The sequence below is a fragment of the Homo sapiens genome, chromosome 12 (assembly GCF_000001405.40).
Source record: "Homo sapiens chromosome 12, GRCh38.p14 Primary Assembly".
NCBI lineage: Eukaryota > Metazoa > Chordata > Mammalia > Primates > Hominidae > Homo > Homo sapiens.
The window spans coordinates 49,021,878-49,045,153 of NC_000012.12; the positions used below are offsets into that span (position 1 = coordinate 49,021,878).

At 54.7% G+C, this 23,276-nt stretch overlaps 1 protein-coding gene across 1 annotated transcript in view; it reads right to left on the reverse strand.

Moving 5' to 3' along the window:
• KMT2D (lysine methyltransferase 2D) overlaps nucleotides 1-23,276 on the reverse strand; it is a 41,817-nt gene that overhangs the window by 2,900 nt on the left and 15,641 nt on the right. Inside the window, exons 20-54 of the mRNA NM_003482.4 lie at nucleotides 22,867-23,088; nucleotides 22,526-22,645; nucleotides 22,323-22,427; nucleotides 21,991-22,121; nucleotides 21,758-21,905; nucleotides 21,486-21,551; nucleotides 21,199-21,309; nucleotides 20,864-21,001; nucleotides 20,684-20,768; nucleotides 20,212-20,453; nucleotides 20,040-20,113; nucleotides 19,778-19,828; nucleotides 17,847-19,658; nucleotides 17,558-17,740; nucleotides 17,345-17,481; nucleotides 15,248-17,112; nucleotides 12,935-13,058; nucleotides 12,705-12,789; nucleotides 12,533-12,599; nucleotides 12,190-12,422; nucleotides 9,298-12,087; nucleotides 9,016-9,156; nucleotides 8,724-8,891; nucleotides 8,403-8,562; nucleotides 7,524-7,599; nucleotides 7,184-7,359; nucleotides 6,951-7,081; nucleotides 6,132-6,264; nucleotides 5,926-6,053; nucleotides 4,305-5,445; nucleotides 2,933-3,069; nucleotides 2,701-2,831; nucleotides 713-998; nucleotides 403-476; nucleotides 166-274 (exon numbers count right to left, since the gene is read on the reverse strand). Coding sequence (NP_003473.3) covers nucleotides 166-274; nucleotides 403-476; nucleotides 713-998; nucleotides 2,701-2,831; nucleotides 2,933-3,069; nucleotides 4,305-5,445; nucleotides 5,926-6,053; nucleotides 6,132-6,264; nucleotides 6,951-7,081; nucleotides 7,184-7,359; nucleotides 7,524-7,599; nucleotides 8,403-8,562; nucleotides 8,724-8,891; nucleotides 9,016-9,156; nucleotides 9,298-12,087; nucleotides 12,190-12,422; nucleotides 12,533-12,599; nucleotides 12,705-12,789; nucleotides 12,935-13,058; nucleotides 15,248-17,112; nucleotides 17,345-17,481; nucleotides 17,558-17,740; nucleotides 17,847-19,658; nucleotides 19,778-19,828; nucleotides 20,040-20,113; nucleotides 20,212-20,453; nucleotides 20,684-20,768; nucleotides 20,864-21,001; nucleotides 21,199-21,309; nucleotides 21,486-21,551; nucleotides 21,758-21,905; nucleotides 21,991-22,121; nucleotides 22,323-22,427; nucleotides 22,526-22,645; nucleotides 22,867-23,088 — 11,780 coding nt within the window. The remainder of the gene's footprint in view (nucleotides 1-165; nucleotides 275-402; nucleotides 477-712; nucleotides 999-2,700; nucleotides 2,832-2,932; nucleotides 3,070-4,304; nucleotides 5,446-5,925; nucleotides 6,054-6,131; nucleotides 6,265-6,950; nucleotides 7,082-7,183; nucleotides 7,360-7,523; nucleotides 7,600-8,402; nucleotides 8,563-8,723; nucleotides 8,892-9,015; nucleotides 9,157-9,297; nucleotides 12,088-12,189; nucleotides 12,423-12,532; nucleotides 12,600-12,704; nucleotides 12,790-12,934; nucleotides 13,059-15,247; nucleotides 17,113-17,344; nucleotides 17,482-17,557; nucleotides 17,741-17,846; nucleotides 19,659-19,777; nucleotides 19,829-20,039; nucleotides 20,114-20,211; nucleotides 20,454-20,683; nucleotides 20,769-20,863; nucleotides 21,002-21,198; nucleotides 21,310-21,485; nucleotides 21,552-21,757; nucleotides 21,906-21,990; nucleotides 22,122-22,322; nucleotides 22,428-22,525; nucleotides 22,646-22,866; nucleotides 23,089-23,276) is intronic.

The window sequence follows — 23,276 nt, forward strand, 5'->3', positions numbered from 1 at the left end:
AAGAGAAGAGGGCAGAATCAATGCTAGTCCCCCACAGGAAGAGGGGAGGCCAGAGAAGATATGATCTGAGGTGCCCAGCCTAGGAATCCACATTTAGGGAATGGCAGAGAAGGGGTGAAAGGAGGAGGAGCTGCTTTGTCACTCAGTCAGGATACTTCCTCTCACCTCCTCTCCTTTGGGGATTCGCCGGCTGGAGATGATGATGATTTTGTCCTCTTTGTCAAATGTCACGACTTCGGCCACACAGTTAGGGGCACAGGAATGGTTAATGTACCTGGGCAGTGGGACAGAGTCAGGGATGTCAGGCAACTAACTTGGGACAATTTTGATTCCTTGTTCGTCTATCCCCCAGAGTGCCACTCTCAGGGACCACTAAATCCCTCCTTCCTCGTCATCTCTCACCTGGCAGGGCCGCCGGTCAACGTAGCATCAATCACATGTTCATTGTTTATTCGGAACATGTAGATGCCTCGATTCTAGAAAGGCAGAGGTTGCAGAAGAAGGGACAAGAGTATCAGAGAGTGGCAGTGGTGGCTGTGGGATCAGGTAGGAGACTCAGGCAGTGGGGGCTTTTGTTGCATGTACTTCATTTCTCCTGCCTTTCCCTTCTCCCCACCACAGCTTTCCTCCTGCTCTCCTGTGACCAATCCTGCCCTTGCTCCTTGGTTGAGTGCAGACTATGCACCACAATGGCCCCTCTGCCAGCTCATACCTGCTCTTCGTAGATTTTCTCCCGCCGGTTGGCCACCTCGTTCCGAATGATGGTGCCAATGTACTCGATAACCATTGTGTGCTTTTCTAGGTCCTTGGCTGCATAGAGCCCCAGGCCCTGGATACGGGAGCGAGCCAGGTACACGTTGTTCTTCCATTCGGTGCGCAGCCGCCGGTACTGAGATGACTTGGAGTGCACAAACTGCTTGCTGTAGGGGGTGTTGGTCTCGCCTGTGAAGGTGCTCTGATATGCCTTAGACATGCTGGTGCTGTTCAGGGTATGGGGCCTGGGAGGTGATATAATCCATGACAAGACAGCTCTCCCTCAGACCAAGTACATACCACCCACCTCCTCTGCCACCTCCTGGGATGTGCAACACACCAGTTAGGGGCGTGTGCTGCTGGCAAGCACTGGAAGTGCAGCCTTGGGAAAGGAGTAGAGGCAACTGGGTCTCAGCTCTGGTGAGGAAGCAACTAGCTACAGGGACCCTTCTGACACCCTGGGTGGCACAGAGAGCCCAGGGTGAGGGGTGGGGTGTGGAGGGAGATGGGGGGCACCAATTCCCCTACACTGAGCCTGTTCTCCCATCTCCCACTTCCTACCACTCTCCTGCCAAACCATTCTCAAGGCCATGCTCCTCTGGGAAGTTTTCCGCAAGCAGCCCAGGCCTAGAATTTAAGCTGATGGTTTGCTTGAATGTCTGAATCCTACCTCCTGCACATACTGGAAGCCCTGAAAATGGGGACTGTGCCTACCACGCTGGGCTAGATTTGAATTAAAACTGGCTGTGAACTCACAGCCTAAAGGTGGTATCCTTTCTTCGGACTGTCCCCTTCTCTGACATAACATTGGGCTCTGTGCAGATGGCTCAGTGCAGGGGAATGACGGCTGCCTGGCAGGATGCCTTTTACCACCTTAGGGCACCAGCCAAATTCTTGCCATCCCAGAGCAGTGGTTTTCAAACGTTTCTGGTTCTTTTTTTATTTAGCAGAAATCTTTGCTTTTTTCTTTAACAAAATGTTGACTGGAACTCCAATACATAAACTAGATGACAATGGAGCTCTTCTGGTTTAATCCAATTTGGGGAAGGAAGAGATATGCATGGGAAGGAAAAGTTCAACCCATCAGTTTAAGTGATCCAGGACTTTTTGGAACACAGGCACTCACAGTTTGAAAACCACCATTGCAGGGCATCAAGGACAAGGCTGGCTAGGGATGGAGAGTCTCTGACATTCTACAACAGCCTAGGAGCCACCAAAGACCTTCGAGAAAGCCCTGCTACCACAGATTCTGCCTCCCTCTACCCAGGGACTAAGGTCCCTGGTACACAGAAAGAACAAGGACCTGCAGTGAAGAAGTAAGGGTCTGGTCCCAGCTGTGTGACCTTTGCCTAGTCATTTAATCTTTCTGGGTCTCAGTTTTCTCAGCTGTAAAATGGGGGTCATACCACCTGCCCTACCTACCTCATAAGGTTGTTGTGAGGATCAAATGAGATAATGGATGTGAAAACGCTTTGAAAAAAAAAGTATAAAGTGCTATACAAATGTAAGGTTTTATTATTTTTCTATTATATCTCTAACTATTTATTTTTGACACCAACACTCATGGGGAAGGGAAGGTGACCCTAGCACCCATGGGGTATCTGAGGTTTGGGAGAATCACAGGCCCTCCCCCAGAAGTAAAACAGGAGAAGAAAGAGGTGACCAAGTCCCTTATATATTTCATAAAATTTCACCAGTTTACCCATTACCTCCCCAGGGTGCCCAAGATAATTCTGTCCTATATCCCAAGTGCATCTGAGCAGGTTGGGAGAGGAGGAAAAGGATACCCTACTAATACCTGCATGCCCTCTAATTAGGAAGTCTAAGAGTGATTCCCCATTTTCTCCACGGGAACTCTGATCTGTATCCTAAATCCTCATAATGGGACCAGAGGATCCCTGTCAACACCCACACCCACATCCCTTGGCTCCAGCATCACAAGCTCACCGTTTGTAGTGTGTGAGGATTTTAGGCTCTGATCGGGCACAGCCAGTGGGGTTGATCATGAGTGGCAGCTCCATAAGGGGGTGGCGCCCATAGCGGAATAAATAGTTTTGACAGCTCTCCACCCCGGGCAGCTGTGGGCACAGTTCATACTCACCTTAGCCTGAGTTTTTTTGGGGTTAGGCCAAAGTTCTCAGTGCCCGCCAAGCCCCCCAGCTCCCAGCCCCTTCCTTACTGATTCAGCTATGCGAAGCACGGCATGCACCGTCAGCCCAAAGAGCTCCTCGCCCTTCAGATACTCAGGGAAGAGTCGCAGCATGTCAGCCTCTTTTCTCATGGCAGCCACAGGCTCAATGATGCGATTCCACACGGCTAAGAAGCAGGGAAGAGAGCAGTCCTCAGAGGCAACTTCTGCTCACTGACCTCCAGTCCCTAACCCCAATCCAGAACTGCAGTTTTCTGAGGCCTTCAAGCCTCCCTATCATGAAGTTGTGTTGGTCTTCCAGATCCTCTCTTGGCCTCCTAGTCTCACTCTCTCTTAAGAAGCAGGAGGTTTCCAACCCCAAGGGGTCATCACAGAGCCTTGAGATACAAACCCAGGGCCCAGGAGACCCAGCATAGGCCATGGAAGGTCCCTAGTGAAAGAGCAGGCATGCTTTGGAGTTGGAAAGACTTGGGTTCAGGTTCTAGTACTGGTCATGAGACCTTGAGCCAAATACAGTCACGTGCAGCTTAACAACATTTCATTCAATGAGGAATCATATATACAACAGTGGTCTGGTAAGATTATAATACTGTACTGTATTTTTACTGTATCTTTTCTATGTCTAGATGCACATACTTACCGTATGTTACAACTGCCTACAGTATTCAGTACAGTTACATGCTGTACAGATTTGTAGCCTAGGAGCAATGGGGTATACCGCAGAGCCTAGGTGTGTAGTATGCTATGCCATCTAGGTTTGTGTAGTACACTCTATGAAGTTCACACAATGACAAAATCACCTAACAATGCATTTCTCAGAATGTATCCCTGTCATTTAGCAATGCACGACTGTACTGAAATCTGAGACTCAGTTTCTTTATGAACAAACTGGGCATAATCGTAGTATAATACTTACCTCATAGGGTTGTATGAACAAAATAAACTACACAAATCACTTAGCTTAGTTTGTGGCTCACAGTACACACTCAAAAAAAGGTACCTGCTCTTACTGTTATTTTATCATTAACACTAAAACTAAAATCAAAATAATTCTGATTTCGTCCAGGGAAAAACAACCCCAAGGAACTTGGTTAGGATTAGGTTGGGTGAGGCAGATGATAGTCTCAGAACTGTTTCCTTTTGTTCCACTGGGGATAGCAACAGAACTAGAATATGTGAGATTAGACCAGCAAAATATTTTCAACTACAAGGGAATTTAGGGTGACAAGAGAGGCTCAAACACTTTCACTGGGAGTTTTCAAGAGACCCCCTGCCTGCCTGAGGTGGGGGAAGGAGGATCATTCACATAGAAGCTACAGGTCCTCTTATAGACATTGTAACAGTGACCCTGGGAGAAACTTTTCCCATTCCATATTATCCATTTCAAGGGCCCACTGCTCACCCTGGGGAGAGGCGTCAGTGAAGACCAGGTCCTCCAGGCCCTGCTCGATGACTTTGATTACAAACTCCGGCCGCCCGTTGTTCTCACCAATAGAACAGCGATAGCAGCAGCGACGATTGTTGGTGCGGAGGCTCCAATAGATGCGCGTGGCCTCGTAGCCCACGGGATAGAGGGCAGTGGCACTATGAAAGTCAGCCATCTGGTGAGGCAGCAGCTGTCCGATGGCGTGGAACACAAGGCCCCCCACACGGAACATGTGCAGCCGTTCTCCCCGCTGAATGATGCTAGCGATTTGCTTCACCTCGTCCCGCTCAATGTAGACCCGCCGGAAGACAGCAAAAGAGCTCAGCTCTTGCTCACAGGGCCCCTTGATCTTATGCATTGGACACAGCATGGTCTTGTCCTTGAAGAACATGCACTTGGCACGGATGGCACAAGCAAAATGGTAGACATTGGGGCAACGCATGCGATTGCAGCTGCTGGTGGCACCAGTTCGCTGGCACAGGGAGCACTTGGTTAGCAGTCCTCGGTGCAGGGCAACCTCCACATTCATCAGTGCCCCGCCCTGGGTCTCATACACCTCCGTGGACCAAAGGGCACAGTTGAGGTGCACCCACAGGTCCAGGTCCAGGTTCAGCAGACGGGCAGGCCCATCAGTGGCCCCGTCACCCTCCTCATGACAGAAACAGCAGCGACGCATGTCTCGCGGTACCTTGTCAGGTCGCAAGGCTGTGCCAAGCTGCTCCATAAACTCTGCCACTTCCCGCTCATCCTCCTGCCGCCCACTGCCCTTCTGGATGGTCAGCAGCAGCCGAAGCCGCTTCCAGCGCACTCCTTTCCATTTCTTGAGGCGAGGAGGACGGGAATCTTCACCTTCTTCAGGGGGCCGGGCACGGGGCTTGGGTCGGGCTGATTCAGGGGATGAGGCCAGTGGCAGAGGTGAGGGGACGGGTGGCTCAGCCAAGGGTTCGGTGGGAAGTTCAACCAAGGGCTCAGTAGGGGGACTGGCAGGAGAAGGTGCCAAGGGGGAAGGGGGCGGGGAGGGTTCTTCAGGAGGTGGGGCCGAGAGCTGTCGCACATCCAGATTGGAGACATTGTAGGTATAGCTGTGCTGAGTGGGTGGCTCTGGGGCGGGGCTCTCCTGTAGGAGGGTGCCCTGTATCATTAGTGCCAGCTCCTCATCTAACTAGCTCCCTCCTTCCCCTCACCCATATGCCACCCTCCCAAAAGGCCTCCACATTCTTTGCCCTAGACAGCCTCTTTTTTCTTTTCTTTTCTTTTTTTTTTGAGACACAGTCTTGCTCTGTTGCCCAGGCTGGATCCAGTGGCACAATCTTGGCTCACTGCAACCTCTGCCTCCTGGGTTCAAGGGATTCTCATGCCTCAGCCTTTCGAGTAGCTGGGATTACAGGCACGCACCATCACGCCTGGCTACTGTTTTGTTTTTGTTTTTAGTAGAGACGGGGTTTCGCCATGTTGGCCAGGCTGGTCTCAAACTCCTGGCCTAAAGTGATTCACTCGCCTTGCCTCCCAAAGCACTGGGATTACAGATGTGAGCCACCGCGCCTGGCCGGCAGCCCCTTTTTTCTAACACCCACCCCTTTTTCTCCCCCAGACCTACCTGTTTCAGGAGGCTCAAGATGTCTAGTTGGCTCTTCAGGGTATAGCCAGGCAACACTGCATCAAACTGCTTCAGCCAATCAGGGCCAGTGTCTGGGCTCTTGCCTTCCAGACCCTTTTCCTTCCCACCTGCAGAAAGGAGTGGATCAGAGCCTCCCACCAGAATCACTCCCCTCAAGTCCCAAAGGGCTTCCCTGCCACACTCACCAGGACCCTCAGCTTCCCCCTTCTTTGGCTCAGTGCCTGCCCGGGCGGGGCTCTCTGGGAACAGCACCTCATAGGAGTTGGGGATCTTCATGCTCAGCAGCTCCGCCACTGCCACCATCACGCCATTCAGGTTCTGCCAGGGCCAGGGAAGGGATGGAAGAAACATATCAGCCAAGTGTCTGAGGTGAGCTCTACTACCAGCTGGGTGGGGACAAGGACACCTAGAACCCACTCCCCAGGGTAGTTCTATCCTATGTCACCCAGCTCTTTTCATACACTTCCCTCACAGCAGCCTTTCCCAAACTGCTGTGGGCACTGACGGGAGCTCCACGAAAAGGGAACTACATCAACTACGTTTAGGAAATGATGCATGCTCTATCCATGACTTGGAGGCTCATGATACACGTTAGCAAATTAAAAGGACCTGAGGACTCTTGTAGTAAAGAAACCCATATTGTCATTTTAACTGTGTTTTCCAACTTTCTTTGACCACAAAAGCCCGTTAATATTTTCAAAACAGCTGACAGAGTCCCACCAAACATGACTGGGGCAATGCTGTCATGTAGTACCTGTGTCATTACACACACAGGTGCTCCTTAGTTGTTGACTTGTCTGTCTTTACCATGGGACTACGAGCCCCGTGAGGGCAGGAACCATGATTCATTTACCCGAATCTCACAGCCTCTAGCCCAGGCTTTCACATACAATAGGTACTCAGTACATGTGCTTGAACGACTACATTTTTCCTTATCCAGACAAATTCCAGGGACTGCCCTCTGATCAGGTTCCCCTCAGCCTCGAGGTACCCCTAGGACACACCTTGGCTGCAGCAGCAGAGACTGTGAGCATGACTGACACCTCACTTCCTTTGCCCTTTTCCCAAGTTGTGACAGGCAGCTTTCCAGGGACCTCCAGGCCAAGGGCCCCATAAGGTTTGGTATCTGGGAAGACTGAATGAGAAAGAGGAATTTGTGTAACACTTGGCCGCCTCTCCCCCAGCTTCGGACAACCCAGGTGAACTGGGCCTGGCCCACATCCAGAGTAGCACATACCTGGGATGCTGGCCCGAGGAATGAGGGGGATGACAGGGGAGAGGGCCCGGTCCTCTTGCTCCCACCGGCCTGAGCCCAGATGAGGGAAACGAGGGGCCTCCTCCCCCAAGATGCTCTCAGGGGATGAAGCTGGCACAATGCTGTCAGGAGAATCGCTATCCTCATCACTCTCCATCCTGGGGACCAAAAGTAGACATTTGTTGCTACAGCCCTGCAGACTCCCCTCCCAAATCTAGAGATGAATAGATGTCTTACTTGAAATCTCCATTGGCCAAAGGAAATATGAGGCAACCTGTACCCCACCCTTGTTCCTCATCCCCATTTCTGGCCCCGCCCCTACCTGACATCCTCAGTCTGATTGTGAGGGGGTGTAGGCAAGGCAGCCAGCAGGTCTAGACTCTTCACCTCTGAAGTATCTGAGGGGTGGGTAGGGAGAAGAAAAGTCAGGTGAGGGTGGCCAGGGCTGATGGTACCTTCTCCCAATATTTTAGGCCTAATTAGCATGAGATCTCAGCTATCATGATTAGCTGTCCTCCCACCTACCAGTTTGGGGCAAACAAGGTATATTTATTGAGTCTGTCCTGCATGCCAGGCACTGTTGTTTTTTGTTTTTTTTGTTTTTTTTTTTTTTTTCCCGTAGAGATGGGGTCTTGTTATATTGCCCAAGCTGGTCTCGAACTCCTGGCCTCAAGCAATCCTTCCATCTTGGCCTCCCAAAATGTTGGGATTACAGGCATAAGCTACCAGGCCTGGTGGCAGCTGGCTTTAGATATACTCTTTGGAGTTTGTTTAGTCATTTAATAACTCCATTAAGTGAGTACTACAATAGCCATTTTACAGTGAGGAAACTGAGGCTCACACAAGTCAATCAAGTTACTTGGATACAGTAACACAGTTGAATGAATGCAGGAACCAGAATTCAAATCCAGATCAGAGTCTAGCTCCACACTCACTAAAGCTGGACTGTTCCTTCTATACAAAGCTTCATAAAGATGCTCCCTGCCACCCACCTCTCCTATTGCATTTGCTCTAGACTCCAAATGTCCATTCTGGCCCCCAAGAAATCAGTCCTGAAAGGGCCCTTCCTACCTCAGGTGCCCTGTTATGTAAACACACAGGACAGCAGGCAACCCACTAATTTCTAAACTGTACAGCATACTAACTGGTTTGGACTCCAGCTACCAAACTCCACCAGGGGTGGCATCTGCTCTTGACTTACCCCTCAGTGCCCTTTCACTATCCCGGGCAGAGGCAGCATCCTTGGGGTGCTCCCCCAGCTCTTCAGATGGGGTGACGCCATTCACCATCTTCTGCTGCACCGATGGGGGTGGGGTGGGGGGCAGCGACGAGGGTGGTGTCGGCGGGTTACTCAGGTTATTCTGAGGGGTGGGGGGTGGGGTGTTGTGTGCAAGATGGCATAGGGAGACTGATATAATCTCCTGGCCCCACTCTACGTCAGCAATTCCCTCAAGTTTTCTATTCCCACCCTCACCTTCCCAAGAACTTCACTATTCCCAAAAAATATTGCCATTTTTCTGACCTTGGTAAGCAGCTGGGAATAGTAGTCAGGGCCAGTGGGCAGCGCCCCACTTCCAAAGGCCCCCCTCAGCTGGCTCTGCCCATTGACTGGGCAGCCACTGCCAAAGGGGGCAAAGAGGCTAAAATTGGCGGTGATAGCAGGCTCCGTTAGGGGCAGCAGGGACAGCTCCTACAAGGGGCAAGATGACAAAGTTCAAAACCTGCAGCGTTTGCATCGCTGTCTTGCACAGCTGGGGGACAGGGTGCCCCCTATCCTGGGATGGGACCAGGGGGACTGTCTCCTGGGGGGTCACCTGTTTCAGCTGTTTCAGCAAGGCCTCGCTGGCCCTGACCCCGTCCTCCTTCCGCAGCTTCTTTCGGGAGCTCACCAACCTGTCGCTTGCCTTCTGTACCCGCTTGGGCTTCGGTGTCAAAGGCTTCCTTGCTGCTGCATCCTAAGCCAAATAAGCCCATTGAAGGCTGCTACCCTCCTCCTCAGAGCCCTCATCTCTTCTGTCTGACCCAGGCTCACTCATTCTGCCCCCCGCTGGCTCTAGGACCCACTCTACCTGCTCCACTCTACTCAGAGTACTCACCTCCTTGTTGCTGGGGGTACCCTGTAGTTTCTGCTCCAGCCCAGCCAGCTTGCTGTCAATGTGCCCGTTGATCTCAGCTCGCAGCCCCTCGGACCCCCGCCCAGTGCTGAGTTGCACATTCTTTGCCCGGAGTAGCTTCTGCAAGAGCAGATGCCCAGCTTCTGAGCGAGGGCCTGCCAGCAGGAGGTGGTTGCTGGTTCCTGGTGCCCCTATTGGCTCCCCATTGGCCTCCCTCTTCACTGACTGGGCTCCCAGGGCACATGGCTCTTCCCGAGGTTCCTGCTTGATGCTGAGTTGGGATGCCTCAGGCACCACCTGTCCATTCACCTGGTCCAGATGCCCAGGTACCAGGCTGCTCTGCTCTGGCTTCTGGGTTTCTGCTAGGTTGTCTGGGGGATCCCAAGGTCCCAGACCCTTGCTAAACAAGGTATCTGCAAGCTGGGCAGCAGCAGGTGAGACCCTCCCAGGAGGCGGCTCCAAGGTTGGCCCCTGAGGTTTGGGGGTCCCTGGATGGGTGGGAGGGAGCTGGGCCTCAGTGGGAAGCTGGGAGCTGGGGGAAGGTAATTGTGAAGGTCTCTTTGGCTCTTGAGGGCTGGATGGTGGAGGTGTGGGATGGACAGGGCCAAGGACTGGTCCTGTAGATAAGGCTCCTGGTGGGGCAGGGAGCCGGGGTGGGCCCTGAGGTCGAGGCCCTGCCCCTAGCTCCTGGAGGGGGCCTGTCTGTGGTCCAGGGAAGCCCCCAAGTTGAGGTTGGCAGCCCAGGAGGCCCTGGAGGGGAGAGGTCTGGGTCCCAGGCTCCTGGTAGGGTGGGGTCTGGCGTACTGCCTGACTCTGCTGCAGCTGCCGCTGCATGAGGAGTGCCTGTAGCTGCTGCTGCTGCTGAGGACTTAAGTGCCGCAGCTGTGGGTTTTTGGCCAGGACTCCTTGGAGCTGTGCTCGAAGCTGACCCACCGTAGGCATGATTCCAACCCCAGGCAGACCCTGCCCAGACTGGAGGACAGGTCCTGGTTTGGGAGGTTGTGGCCCTGTATTATTTTGCATGGGCCGCTCTAGCATGGGCTGTTGGGGGCCCAGAAGGTTCTGGGTCATGGACCCAGGCTGATCCCCTAAGGAAACAGAGGGCTGAGCCAGCAGGTGGGGCACAGATGAGGCCTCAGAAGATGATCCACTGCCTAGCTGCCCATGGCTTCCTCCACCTGCTGTGTGGAGCAGGCTAACTTGCTGCTGCTGTTGTCCTGGAAGCCTCAGAGGTGGCTGCAGCTGCAGAGAGCTGGGCTGAGGCTGGGGCTGGGGTTGGACAAGCAGGAGTTGTGAGTCCCCAGAGAGTGAGGGCTTTACCTCTCCTGGTTCAGTGGCCATTGACTCAGGGGTAGTTCCTATTGCTAACGGCCCTCCCTGATGTGTAGAGGGCCCCTCAGTGGCCTCTGAAGAAACGGCTGGGTCTACGGTGTTTTGTTCCTTGCCCGTCAGGAGGAGGGTTGGACCCAGGGCTCCAGGGCTAGAAAAGTGTTGAAGAGGCTTTGCTGGCATGCCAGGGCCAAGTGCCACTTGCTGCTGCTGTTGTTGCTGAGGAGACAGTAAAGTTCGACTCTGGTTTAAAAGGCCCATCTGCTGCTGTTGCTGCTGCTGTTGAAACTGCTGCTGTTGTTGTTGCTGTTGCTGTTGTAGCTGCTGTTGCTGCTGTTGAAGCTGTTGCTGCTGCTGTTGTTGAAGCTGCTGCTGCTGTTGCTGCTGTTGAAGCTGTTGCTGCTGAAGTTGCTGTTGCTGTTGTAGCTGCTGCTGCTGCTGCTGCTGAAGTTGCTGTTGCTGTTGCAGCTGCTGCTGCTGCTGAAGCTGCTGTAAAGAGCCCATGGGCTGAGCGCTCAGTTTGGGCTGCCCACTGTGTGACATCAGACTCTGCTGAAGATGGGACAGCCCTGCCATGGACCCTTGCTGTTGGTGCTGTTGTTGCTGCTGCTGCTGCTGGGCTGTGACCAGCCTGTGTCCCATAAGGCCCTGACCCTGCTGTGCCAGCTGGGGGGAACTGAGCACCCGGGACTGGGTCATAAGCACCTGTCTGTGAGGGCCCTGGGGGCCCAAAGCTCCAGGGTGCTGCTGCTGCAACACAGCCACCTGGGCAGGGCCCAGCATGCCCTGGGGCCCCTGGGGTGGTTGAGGGGACAGCTGCTGGACCAGGAGGCCTTGGTGGCTGCTGGGAGGCATAAGGCCCTGGGGCTTGGGACCCAGAGCTTGGTTTGTCTGTACTCCAGGACCCTGCTGCTGTTGCTGCTGGATTGCCACCTGTCCTAGAAGGTGCTGCTGCTGCTGTTGCTGCTGCTGCTGCTGCTGCAGTTTCTGGGCCAGCTGCATACGTTGCTGCTGCAGCTGCAGCTGCCTTTCCTGTAAAAGCCTTGAATCAGGTCCGAGGCTTCGAAGAGCAAGGTTGCCAGGGAAGAAGCCCCCTGAAGGGCCAGCCAGGGATCCAGCCCCACCAGAATGTTGCTGTTGCTGCTGTTGGGCCAGAGCTGTATTAAGGAAGGGGCCACCAGGCTGTCCAGGTAGTGCCATACCCCCAGGGGTCAGGCGAAGACCTCCGGCTTGCCCACCCGGAGGCCCCTGTGGTGGCTGCAGCCCATGGCCAGGGAGCAGCTGACCAGGGAGCTTGGTGAGCAGCCGGGGACTCTGGGAAGGGCTGAGAGCCAGCACAGCTGAGTGCTGTTGCTGTTGTTGCTGCTGCTGCTGCTGTTGTTGCTGCTGCTTGTTCCGATATTCTGCCATGAGATTAGTGTGCTCCTTCTGCTGTTTCCGGACCTAACATGGGAGGGTCGGAGAGGTCAGGCTGGGGCATGCTCCCCCCATGCCAACCCTCTTCCCTGCCTTCTGGGTGCTAGGCTGAAGTTTGCTTTCCCCCACCTGATCCAGTTGTTTCTGGATCTTGCTCTGCTGCTCTGTAACCAGCTTGAGCTTCTCAGCATCAGCTTCTGGGAACTCACGGCCAGCTTTTTTGGCAGTGCGCTGCTTGGCACACAGAGCCTTCCGGGACTTGCGGTGTACACCAATCTGCTCCTCTAGCACCTTCAGCTGCATCTGTAGGAGCTGCTGGGTATGGAACAGCCACTCCTCATACTGCCGCTGGTCAGCTTCATCTGGGAAAAGAAGCTGGGTGTCAGGACCTGCAAAAGGGTAATCCCAATCCCTCTTCCTCCATATGACCCAAACCACTCCCCTGCACCTTCCTCCCACGCCCCATACTCACTGATCACTCCCTGAGCAAAAGTGGGCGGGTTGGGACGAGGCTGGGAGGGATCACCAGCACTCCGCTCCTGCAATGAGAGAGGCTGCTAAAGGGTCATTGTTCCCTGCTAGGCCCTAAGAAGGGTGGCCCAGTGGCATAAGACACAAGTTCCTACTCCCACCTGACCACTTACCTGGCCACTCCCAGCTGCCACATGGTTCTGCAGATCACTGCTAGGTCCCCCCGAGAGCCTCTGGGCTAGCAGAGACACTTGCTGTCTGGAGTCCACCAAAGCACAGAAGATAAGTGTTGGCAATAAGAAAGTTGGAAAGCAAAGAGACGTGGGACAAGTAGGGAGGGGAGCCAAGAAGGGGTGTGACTGGGAAAGAAAAGGGCCAACCCCATTCCAGCCCTGAGTCTTACCTGTTCATACCAGGTGCCACCCCAATGCTGCCCTGAGCCATCACTTTCTTGATGCCTTTCAAAGCCACCATCTTGGCCTTTGCAATGGGATCAATGATATCTTCTGCAGCAAATTTGTCCAGGTCTGGAGAGGGGAGAACCAAGTGAGCTGGGCTATGGGGCCAATGCTCCAGTGAATATCTGCGATTCCCTTCAACATCCTGACTTCAACCACGCCAGGCAGAACAATGGCACGGCAAGGCAGAAAGACCACTGAATTAGGAGCCAGTCGGCCTGGGTGAATCAGCTCTATTCACAGGACATGTGGGCCTGTTTTTACTTGCACCGTGCTACAAAAAGGGGCTCCGTAAATATTTGTTGAGTCAACCTGTGTTATTTCACCTCAGTTTACCCTTTTATTTGATACAGATGATGATCCCTACTCCGTCTACCTCACAGAGGTGTTAAGAGGATCAAATGTGACAAGAATATAAGTACACTTTATGACTCGGAAAGCATTCTTCAAAGGTAATGTTCTTAGTCCAACTAGCACAGCCCAAGCACCCAAGATGCTGGCACTGTTGCAAAGCCCTAGATTCCAGAGCTGTTTTGGGCATCACCTGTAGTCCACTCTCCTGTCTGTCTAGAATGCTGGGCAAAAAAGAAGAAACAACCAACCACCAAAAACTTACATCATCCTAAAATCCCACACTTTGTATATTTCTCCACTGCTCAGAAAACTTAACTGAGCATCCACTTTCTTTTTTTCTTTTCTTTTCTTTTTTAAAGACAGAGTCTTGCTCTTGTCACCCAGGCTGGAGTGCAATGGTGCAATTTAGGCTCACTGCAACCTCTGCTTCCTGGGTTCAAGCGATTCTCCTGCCTCAGCCTGCCGAGTAGCTGTGATTACAGGTGCCCACCACCAAGCCCAGCTAATTTTTGTATTTTTAGTAGAAACGAGGTTTCACCATGTTGGCCAGGCTGGTCTGGAACTCCTGACCTCAGGTGATCCACCCGCCTCAGCCTCCCAAAGTGCTGGGATTAAAGGCGTGAGCCACAGCACCTGGCCAGAGCTCCCACTTTCTTAAGGACTAACCCAAACTCCCTCTCCTGGAATCCTGAGGCAGTAAACAGTTAAGAGGAGTACCGACCAGACTTCAGATCTAGCTCTGCTAGCTGCTGTGTAATCTTGGACAAGTTACTTAACCTCCACTTCTGTTTCCTCTTCTGTAATCAAAGATAATAACAATACCTATTTAATGAGTCTGCTATAATGATTAAATTGGACAAAAAGTATAAAGTGCTCAGTAAACTCCTTGGCAAATAGTAATTACTCAATAAATGCTATTATAATTTGAGGTCTTTTTCAATCTGGCCCCCATCTTATCTCACCAAAATTATGTCACTTACTTCACTCGAAACAGTTTACTCCAGCCTAACCAATTCACTCACTGTTCTTGAAACATCCCATAGGTTTTCCCACCATTGCAGCCTCAATGAACTTTTTCACCTATCCCAATCGCTTTTTTTTTTTTTTTTAAGACAGAGTCTCGCTCTGTTGCCCAGCCTGAAGTGCAATGGCGTGATCTCAGCTAACTGCAACCTCCACCTCCTGGGTTCAAGCAATTCTCCTGCCTCAGCCTCTCGAGTAGCTGGAACTACAGGCGTGCACCACCACACCCAGCTAATTTTTTTTTTTTTTTTTTTTTTTTTTTGAGATGGAGTTTCGCTCTTGTTGCCCAGGCTGGAGTGCAATGAGGCGATCTCGGCTCACCACAACCTCTGCCTCATGGGTTCAATCAACTCTCCTGCCTCAGCCTCCCGAGTAGCTGGGATTACAGGGATGCACCACCGCGCCCGGCTCACACCCAGCTAATTTTTGTATGTTTAGTAGAGATGGGGTTTCATCATCTTGGCCAGGCTGGTCTTGAACTCCTGATCTTAAGTGATCCACCTGCCTTGGTCTCCCAAAGTGCTGGGATTACAGGCATGAGCCATTGTGCCTGGCCTCAACTGCTTTTTTTTGCACCACTTCTCTTCAAGTCTTAAGCTTTCAACTTCACTACAGCTACAAAGGCTCTGCTAATTAGGCTTCATTCATACATTCATTCCATTTATTCAAACATCTGCTACATGCCTACTATATGCCAGGAACTGTTCTCTCTCTTCTTAAAAGCTACAGTGTTTCTGCCTCTACCACTAGTATGATATTTAGCCAAAGTTCTTTGTGTCCCATCTTAAGTAGGGATTATCTGAGGTCTCTAGCCTCAGTGCCCATTTAGGGATAACAATAATCACCCTGAGTAACTTGGCTATGTTACCAGCTGAGGTTACCTGTATCTGGGAAGAAGCTGTTTGCCAGCTGCTGCTGCATTGCCAATTGCTGCGGCTTCATGCACATGGAAGGTGGCATGGTGCCCATGGGCTTCTGTGATAGCACTGGCTGTGAGCTCTGCTGGGGTACCAAGCCTGCCTGCCCTCCATGCTGCCCACTTAGCATATGCCCTTGATTGGACACCATAGCCATGGATGGAGCCAGGCGTTGCTGGAGGGCATGAGCTGGTGGCTGGGTGGGCATCAGTGGCTGGGGCAAACCTGGCTGTCGGGCACCTGCAAGACCCAGGGAAAGCTGCTGTTGGGACCCAGCCAAACTGGGAGAAGAGCCCTCATGTGGCAAAGACATGGCCTGGGCAGGGCCTGGTGCAGACAGTAGGGAATGCTGCTGCTGCTGTTGCTGCTGCTGCTGGGCAGGCTGCAACTGTGCTGAAAGCTGCTGCTTCTTCTGCAGCTCCTTCTTCTCATGCTCCAACAGGTCCTCAATGAGCAGGGGTAACTCGCTGGCTACCAGTGAGCTCTCCATCTTGTCTAGCTCATCCCCAGATGCTGCAGGTCCACCAGGCAAGGTCAAAGCCCCACTCTCGAGCTCAAACTTTTCCAGCAGGGAGGATCCTCCTGGGCCACTCAGTGGGCTGGGGGTCAGCAGGTGAGCTGGTGGTCCTCCCGTGGCCCCAAAGGAGGCCTTCTCAGCTGTGTGCCCACTGCTAGAAAATGGCCCTGTGCCCATCCGGGTATCCCGGCTGCCCATCATGCTCTGTCCTGGCTTTAGCCCCAGGCCAAGGGAATTGGCAGCAGGTGCGGGCTCTACCTTGGGGGTAGCAATGGTGAATTGGCAAGGAGAAGGGTGGCGTCCACCCTCCTCCACCTTGGGCTTCACCTCAGGGAGCACAGATGCCAGGCGGGGTTCAGAGGCATCAGCAGCAGGGGGAGGGCGCTCCTCAGGGCCCAAGGGTCCTGGCTCCACCCCCCGCAGCAGGGCCTCCCGTTCAGCCTTCTCATTAGCCGATTCTACCAGCCTCAGGTGCTCATTGAAGATATCCTTCTTGTCCCCAGTGTCCAGCTCAGGATCAGTATATGCCAGCAGGTCAAACTCGTCTCCATTGAGCAGGTCATCCAAGTGGGGGTCATTGGTCTCCAGGTTTTCTAAGGTGCCAAGTTCATCATCACCCTTGGCCACATCCACACCCAGACCCAGGTGAGCAAGCTCTTCATCATCCTCTAGGGCCTTGTGGGCATCAAAATCGTCATCCAGCTCGGGATCCTCACAGGGCAACTTCCCAGCTTCCAGGGCCAGAGGATTGGGGCGGCCAAGCTCAGTGCTCGACGGGGGCCGGTTGACCAGCTCCAAACCAGTTGGCAGGGTAGGACCCTTGGTGTGGGGTGTTGGATGAAGACTGTTGTTCAATTCAGGGGCCGGTGGGGCTGAGGGTTTCTGTGGGGGAAGACCTGATACCGCCAGGCCCCGAAGCCCTTCAGGAGCCAGTCGGTGGGGGTCCTCACTTACAGGGTAAAAACGGGGTCTCTGAGGTGGGCCCTGACCAGGAAACGGAGTGCCCCCAGGTCCCAGTCCTTTCTGTACATTGTGCCGCAGCTCAATGAACTGGGCAGGACCAGCTGGACCAGGCACTGGCTCACCAGGGCCTGGCAGACGGGTGGAAATTCCCGCCAACGGGGAACCTAGGGCTTGGCGGCCAAGTTCAGGTCCAGGAGTTGATGGAAAGCGAGCTGACATGGCAAATCGCATGGAGGTTGCTGCTGTTGCCTGTTGTTGCTGCCACAGTTGTTGCTGTTGCTGCTGTAAGGGCAGGGACCCAGGATAGGGTGCTCGCTGATAGAAAGCTTGGGAGCCTCCTACCAGTTGCCTGGAAGAATATACAGTAGTCAGTAGGATGAAATCAGATGAAAAGGAGCAAGAACATGGGCTTAGGGCAGTGAGGAAGGATAGAATTAATGCAGTGAGGGAGAAAAGGAATGAGGAAGAAGAGAAAGTGATACTGGAAAAGGATTAGTGATACAGGAAAATCACAAGAGCTTCCAACAGTGATAAAATCCATCCCCCTTGGTTTACCCCCAGGGAACCTCCTGGAGCCTCACCGGCTGTTCACATCCATAGAGGAAGGCGTGGCTGGTGGAGGTGGCCGGGAGAGTCGGTCATCGCTAGGGAAGGACCCTGGCCCCAGGATGGGGCCACTCAGCTTGCTTGGGGGCAACCCCACAAGGCTGCTCTTGTCCTAGAAGAGACAAGGTAGATGAAGGTGGAGCAACCTTCAATATCCTGGCCCCACTATCCCTTGCCACTCTACCTACCTGTGTCCCAGCAAAGGGGGTCTGGCCTCGACTCAGCTGCTCAAAGGCAGGGCTGCTGGGCTCAGCACCCCAGCTGCCTGGAGGCCCCACTGCTCCTGCAGCTGCTGCAGCTGTTTCCTTCTCCTGCCGCAGGGTGTTGCGCTGGATCTGCTGCCGAATCAGCAGCTCTCGTAGTCGCTGGCGCTATGCAAAAAAAAGAGAAGAGGAATAAGCCCATTCTACTCCAATCATAGGGCTGCCCCAGAGACAGGAGCGATATAGGGGGCTTAGCTCCAGGGTGTCAACTTACCTGCCGTTGCTTCTCCAGCTCTGTTTGGCTAAGGCCGGACATGCCTGGGTCCTGGGTACCTGGGAGTTCAGCTGTCGCCAAAGAGCTACCCATTCCAGTCCCTGGGTCTTCTCGCTTTTCGACAGGAGAGGTGATGCCTGATCGCTGTGAGGCTCCATGGGACAGGTAGGGGAGGGATCCGTCGGGTGCAGGTGGTGGCAGAACCGACGGAGGGCGTAGTGGGGACAGCCCATAGCTCTCCCCTGTGGACCCGCTGCTGGGCCCCAGGGGGCTGCCCGATGGGTGGAAGTTCCCTGTGGCTACTGTGTAGTTTGTGCTTTGAGGCTTGCCCAAGGTGGGGCCGGGCCCAAAATGGCTGTTGATCCCATGGGGTGGCGGGAGACCAGGCTGAGGGACAGGGGGCTTTAGGGAAGGCTCCCCTACTGCCTGAGGGAAAGTGAAACGCATGGGAGAGGGGGTGCCCACAAATGCACCCGTCCCAGGGGACCGGACAAAATTGGGGGGCTGCCCACTTGGGACCTTGGCATGGAGCTCACCTGCTGGCCCCGCGGGCAGGGCTGCTGGGAACCCCCCAGCCCCCAGCGAAGTGTGGGCTAGAGACCCAGCCTTAAAGGCAACTTCAGGGGGCTGGGGTCGGGGTGGCTTATGCAATGGGGCAAATGGGTCACGGGACTGAGGGCGTGAGGGTGGGCGAGAATAAGGGTCAGGGGACTGGAAGCGAGGGGTAACGGGTGATGGGCAAAAAGCTTCAGCAGACAGAGGCCGGGGTGTCAGTGGAGACTGGGAGCTGGACTGGGACTGAGGACTGGCAGGCACTCGGGAGAAAGGGTCGGAGGGCAGTGAGCGAGGGGGCAGAGCACAGCAGCTCTCAGGGGGCGGAGGTTGGGGCCGAGGAGTCAATGGGGGCTGAGCATATGGGTCAGTGTAGGAGCCAGGGCGAAAGATGTCTGGGTGACTTGGAGGAGAAGGTGCCAAAGCCTGGGCAGGGGGTGGCTCCTGGGGCCTTAGGCCCAAGCCCGGGCTCTGGGGCTCTACCTGAGATGCCCGAGGGGTCAGGGGGGCTTTGAAGACATCAGGTGTCTTTAACTCCAGGCCACCCAGGTGGGTGCCTGAGGAGGGTGAGTCAACAAAGCCCAGGTTTGGGGGCCCATAGCTAGGAGAGGATGCCCCAAGCTCTTCCTTCTTCACCTCTAGGGCCTTCCGGGACTCCCCAAAAGGTGGGGGCGAGAGCAGGGGCTCGGAAGCTTTGCCTCCCCCTACCCCAGGGCTCTCAGGCACAGCCAAGTTATCCAGCGAGGGGCAGCGGGGTTTGAGGAATGGGTCAGGTGTGGAGGGCTGGTGTCTGGGGGTGCCAGGTGGGGTAGTGTGGAATTCCCCTGGCTGGCCAGCCCCAGGACGAGATGAGGCGCCCAGCATCGGGGGCTGCGCAGGGGCCCCCGTAGGACTAGGATAGGGGGGATAGGTGGGCGGTGCCGTGGGGAAGCGGGGCTCCAGGGGATAGGCAGGGGCCAGTCCAAAGGGGTCCTGCGAAGGCACTTGGGCGGGCACCTGGGGTGGGAGCTTGAGGAAGAGCTCACCAGGCGAGTCAGGGCCAGGCACCGAGCCCGCCGGCGGCTTCAGGAACCCGTCCGCAGAGGTAGACAAGCCGGCGGGGGTAGTGGGGCTGCCAATGAAAATGGTGGGGGCAGCAGCGGGGGGCGGGCTGCCCAGTGCCCCTGGCTGCGGGGGAATGCGGAGATGTAGGGCCGGTCGGTCAGTCTTACGGGCTATGTCGCCCACCTTGGTCTGCTTGTTGATCTGGCTCTCAGCCTGCTACAGGGGGAGACCAGGCATAGGGCAGTCAGGCTGCTGCAGGCAGGCCCCATGGCCCTCCACCCTCAAGAGAGGCCACCCACTAGAGGACTGCTACACCCCAGCCCAGCCCCACTCACCTTCTGCACCTTGTTGATGCGGTGAGCTGCCCGGTTATCTTTGGCCTTTTGCTGAGGGATATGGGACACAGCCTTAGGGCCTAGTGCTTGGTCTCATGCCCCGCCCCCATACTGTAGTGTTTTCACACTCCCTACCCAGAAGCAGATCCCTTCTGGCCCAGCTGCTTTAGGAGTGGGGAGCGGAAAGAACTGAGGTAAATTACCCAAAGATCCCTCCCTCCCTCTCAGTTCCCACGCTAATCCATGCTCCTTTCTGCCTCACCAGGTAGGGGGCTTTGTCAGCTGCTGGAACCTTTCTCCAGAGCTTCATGATTTGTTTGCAACGGCTTGACCAGTCTGGAGGGCAGAGAGAGTGAGTCAGAGAAGACTTGGCAGGCGACTCCTCCACCTGCCATGTTGCCAGGCTGTCTCCCTTGCCCTCATCCCACAGGTACCTGGGTAGTCTTGCTTGAGATTAGGAAAATTAATGTTGGCATAGAGCACAGGTGAGATGGTGGACAGCTGGCCCAACTCCTCATCCTTCTCCCAGCGCTGAAGACTCCGCTGGTTATAGGAGAGTCCGTCGCCCTCACCCTCCGTGGTGGGGGTTGTGGGGGTGGAGGGCGTGGTGCCACCTGAGCCCGTCCAGGGGCTGTCGGGCTCACCGGGTTCCGGGCTAAAGAAGCCCCCGCGCTCCCTGGGGCGCAGGGGCAGAGAGTCACAGGGCGCAGGGATGCCAAGTCCCACCCCAGACAAACTGCCTAGAGCCCCAGGCCACTGCCCTGCCCCAAAAGAGGAGGGTCACTAACAAGGGAATGGGGAGGAGCAGGGGAAGTGCTGCAGGAGTCCGAGGGAGGCAAAGCATGAACTCAGATGGAGGGAAAGGACAACGAGGACTGCCCACAAAGGTTACGCAGAGACACCAACCTAGAATCCAGGAACGGGGACTGGCAGAGGCCTGGGTAGGAGTCCATTGGGCTGCTGGAGGGCAGATTGCCCAAAGGGAGTCCACCTACAAGACGGACAGGATCAGAGAAAAGAGCAACTGGCCCATCCTGGAGGCAAGCTTGGTTATGTCAGTCTTCAGACCACTCCCACCTGTATTACCTTGAAGAAAGGGCCTCTGCAGTGGCGTACGGCTGCCTTCTAGGCCAGGGGTTCCACAACCCAGATGCTGTTCTCGTTCAGAGCCCAGAACATCCTTGAAGAGCTGCTGCAGGTCCTTGGATTCCATCTTGGGCAGTTCTGTGGGGGAATGAAGGACACTGTTGAGGAAGACTGGGAAGTTCAGGTGACACCACAGGTCTACAAATGATCATGGCCAGGAACAGTCCAGGACTCCCCACCAGAGAAGCTGTACAGATCACAGTCCCAAAGATAGGACCTCCTCCTTCTCCCATAGAAAACCCTTATACACAAAGAGGTACGGGTCACAGCCTCACCTTCTGTGGAAATCCTGTCTAAGTCAGAGCTAAGCATCCCTTCACCTGGGGTGCCTGGCTTCTCAGGGTCACTGGGCACTGGGGATGCCTTCACGCCCCCATCCTCAGGTCCTGTAAATGCCAGGAGAAACCCATGGGTCAAGGCCAGGATGGGTCATGGCCACTCTGAACCACAGAGGGCCATGGGACAGTTTCCAGCCTCCAACACTGACAATGCTCAGGGGCACAGCAGAGGGACAGAGGCAAGCAAGGCCAAGACAGGACACAGTAACCCCGGCAGCCCTCACCTGGTGTATCGGCTTTGCCCTCGAGGCCACGGGATTCTTCATCTGCAATATCTGGACCATCATCTCCTATGAGCAAGAGTCCCCCCTCCAATCAGAGATGTCCTACATCTGATGCCCAGAACAGGTCTCCAGTCCCACAGCCCTACAGGCCAGGACCCTTGACCCCACCCTTGACTCCTGGAGGCCAGTCCATTTCCCATCAAATAACTTGCCAGCTCCTAAGCCAGAAGAAAGTTGGATTCTCTCACACCACTCACTCCCACATAACTAACCTTTCTGCGATGTGGGGAGTTCCTTCCTTTCTGAGCCTCCATCTCCCTTGGCTTTTGGGGTCCCTAGTCCAAAGCTTGGCCGGCCCACCCCAACTGCAAAAAGGGCCTTACGGCTCAGGTCCAGCAGCTCCTTCCCAAAGAAGGCTTCCTGTGGGGCAGTCAAGGAGAAACAGTTTTCTTCATGCCCTGCAGGGCACAGACACCTCCCTCACTGCTTGGAGCCTGAGACCCACCTGCAAGTAAGCAGGGAACATGTCCTCCAGTTTGCTCTTCTTGCGCCCTCGCCGCTGTTGCTTCTTCTTCTCATCCCCTTCAGCTAAGCTCTGCTCCACGGCGCCCTCTGCAGGCAGGTCAGCAGGTATCACTGTGGACAGAACGGAAGTGTCAGACTCGGGTTGAGAGCATGCTGCTCCCAACTTGCAGGGTGACACTTTGTGCCTACTCTCTCCCACAACACCAGCTGGGTCTACCACCCTCTTGGCCCTTTCAATGAGTCCACCCCCTGGGTCTCTCTAGCATTGCCCCACCTTCTCCCAGGCCCCACTGGTGCCCTCACCCGTCTCACCCTCGTCGGGCTGCCCATCCCCACTCAACACCTCCGCCTGTGCAGCAGGCCCCTTTTTCGTGCGTGTGTGGGATTTCCGCTGTCGCACCATGAAACCACCAATGCCTATGAGGAGGCAGAGTTGTGGATGAGAAGCCGCTGGGGGACCTATTGAGCTGCCCCGCACCACCCCACCACCCCACAACCCCATCCCAGGACCTCACCAGGCCGATATGGTTTACGCTTGCGTTTTTTGCTTTCCTCGGTCTCCTCTTTGCCAGGCTCCACATCAGGGCTGACGGGGCCCTCCAGTTTAATTTCGCACTCCATGTGCTCCACACCACCTGCGTATGGTGACAGAAGAGATGGAGGCAAATCAGAACTATAGGCCCTTTTAACCTTGTCATCCTGCCACTGAGAGAGCTGAATACCTTGCCTCAGAGCCACTTAGACGAGACAGCAGTGCTTAAGGGTAACTGAGTGGCAATGTAGCCCCCACCCAACATCCCACTCCCAGAGTCACGCTCCCCCTACTCTGCCGCTCCCTAAGATTCCCCAAGCTAACCTTCACCCTTGAGCAGCTCATCGGTGTCCAGGTCCCCATCCTTCTTGTCATCAGGGCCAAGGGCATCTGAGGGCTCAGAACCCTCCAATCCTGCCTCGCCTGGGAGGCCAAGCCGTCCTCGCCGTTGGCGCCGCTTGTGCAGTGGTGACATGGTCAGGTTACGCAGCAAGGCCATGCCAGTTTCTGTCAGCCACACACCTTCGAAGCGAAAGTACTGGGGCTCTGCATAAGAGGAAAGAGTATGTGATCCCTGGATGGAAGCCCCAGGGAAACCAGAACTGCAAGTTTCAACCTATGTCCTTAGCTGAGACAAAGGCAGTGACAAAAGTCCAGCTTAGGGTCTAAATGCTGAGGAGAACAGGCCACCAAGGGGCACTGGCTGAGGCCCGAGTTCTCTGTCAGTGACCCAG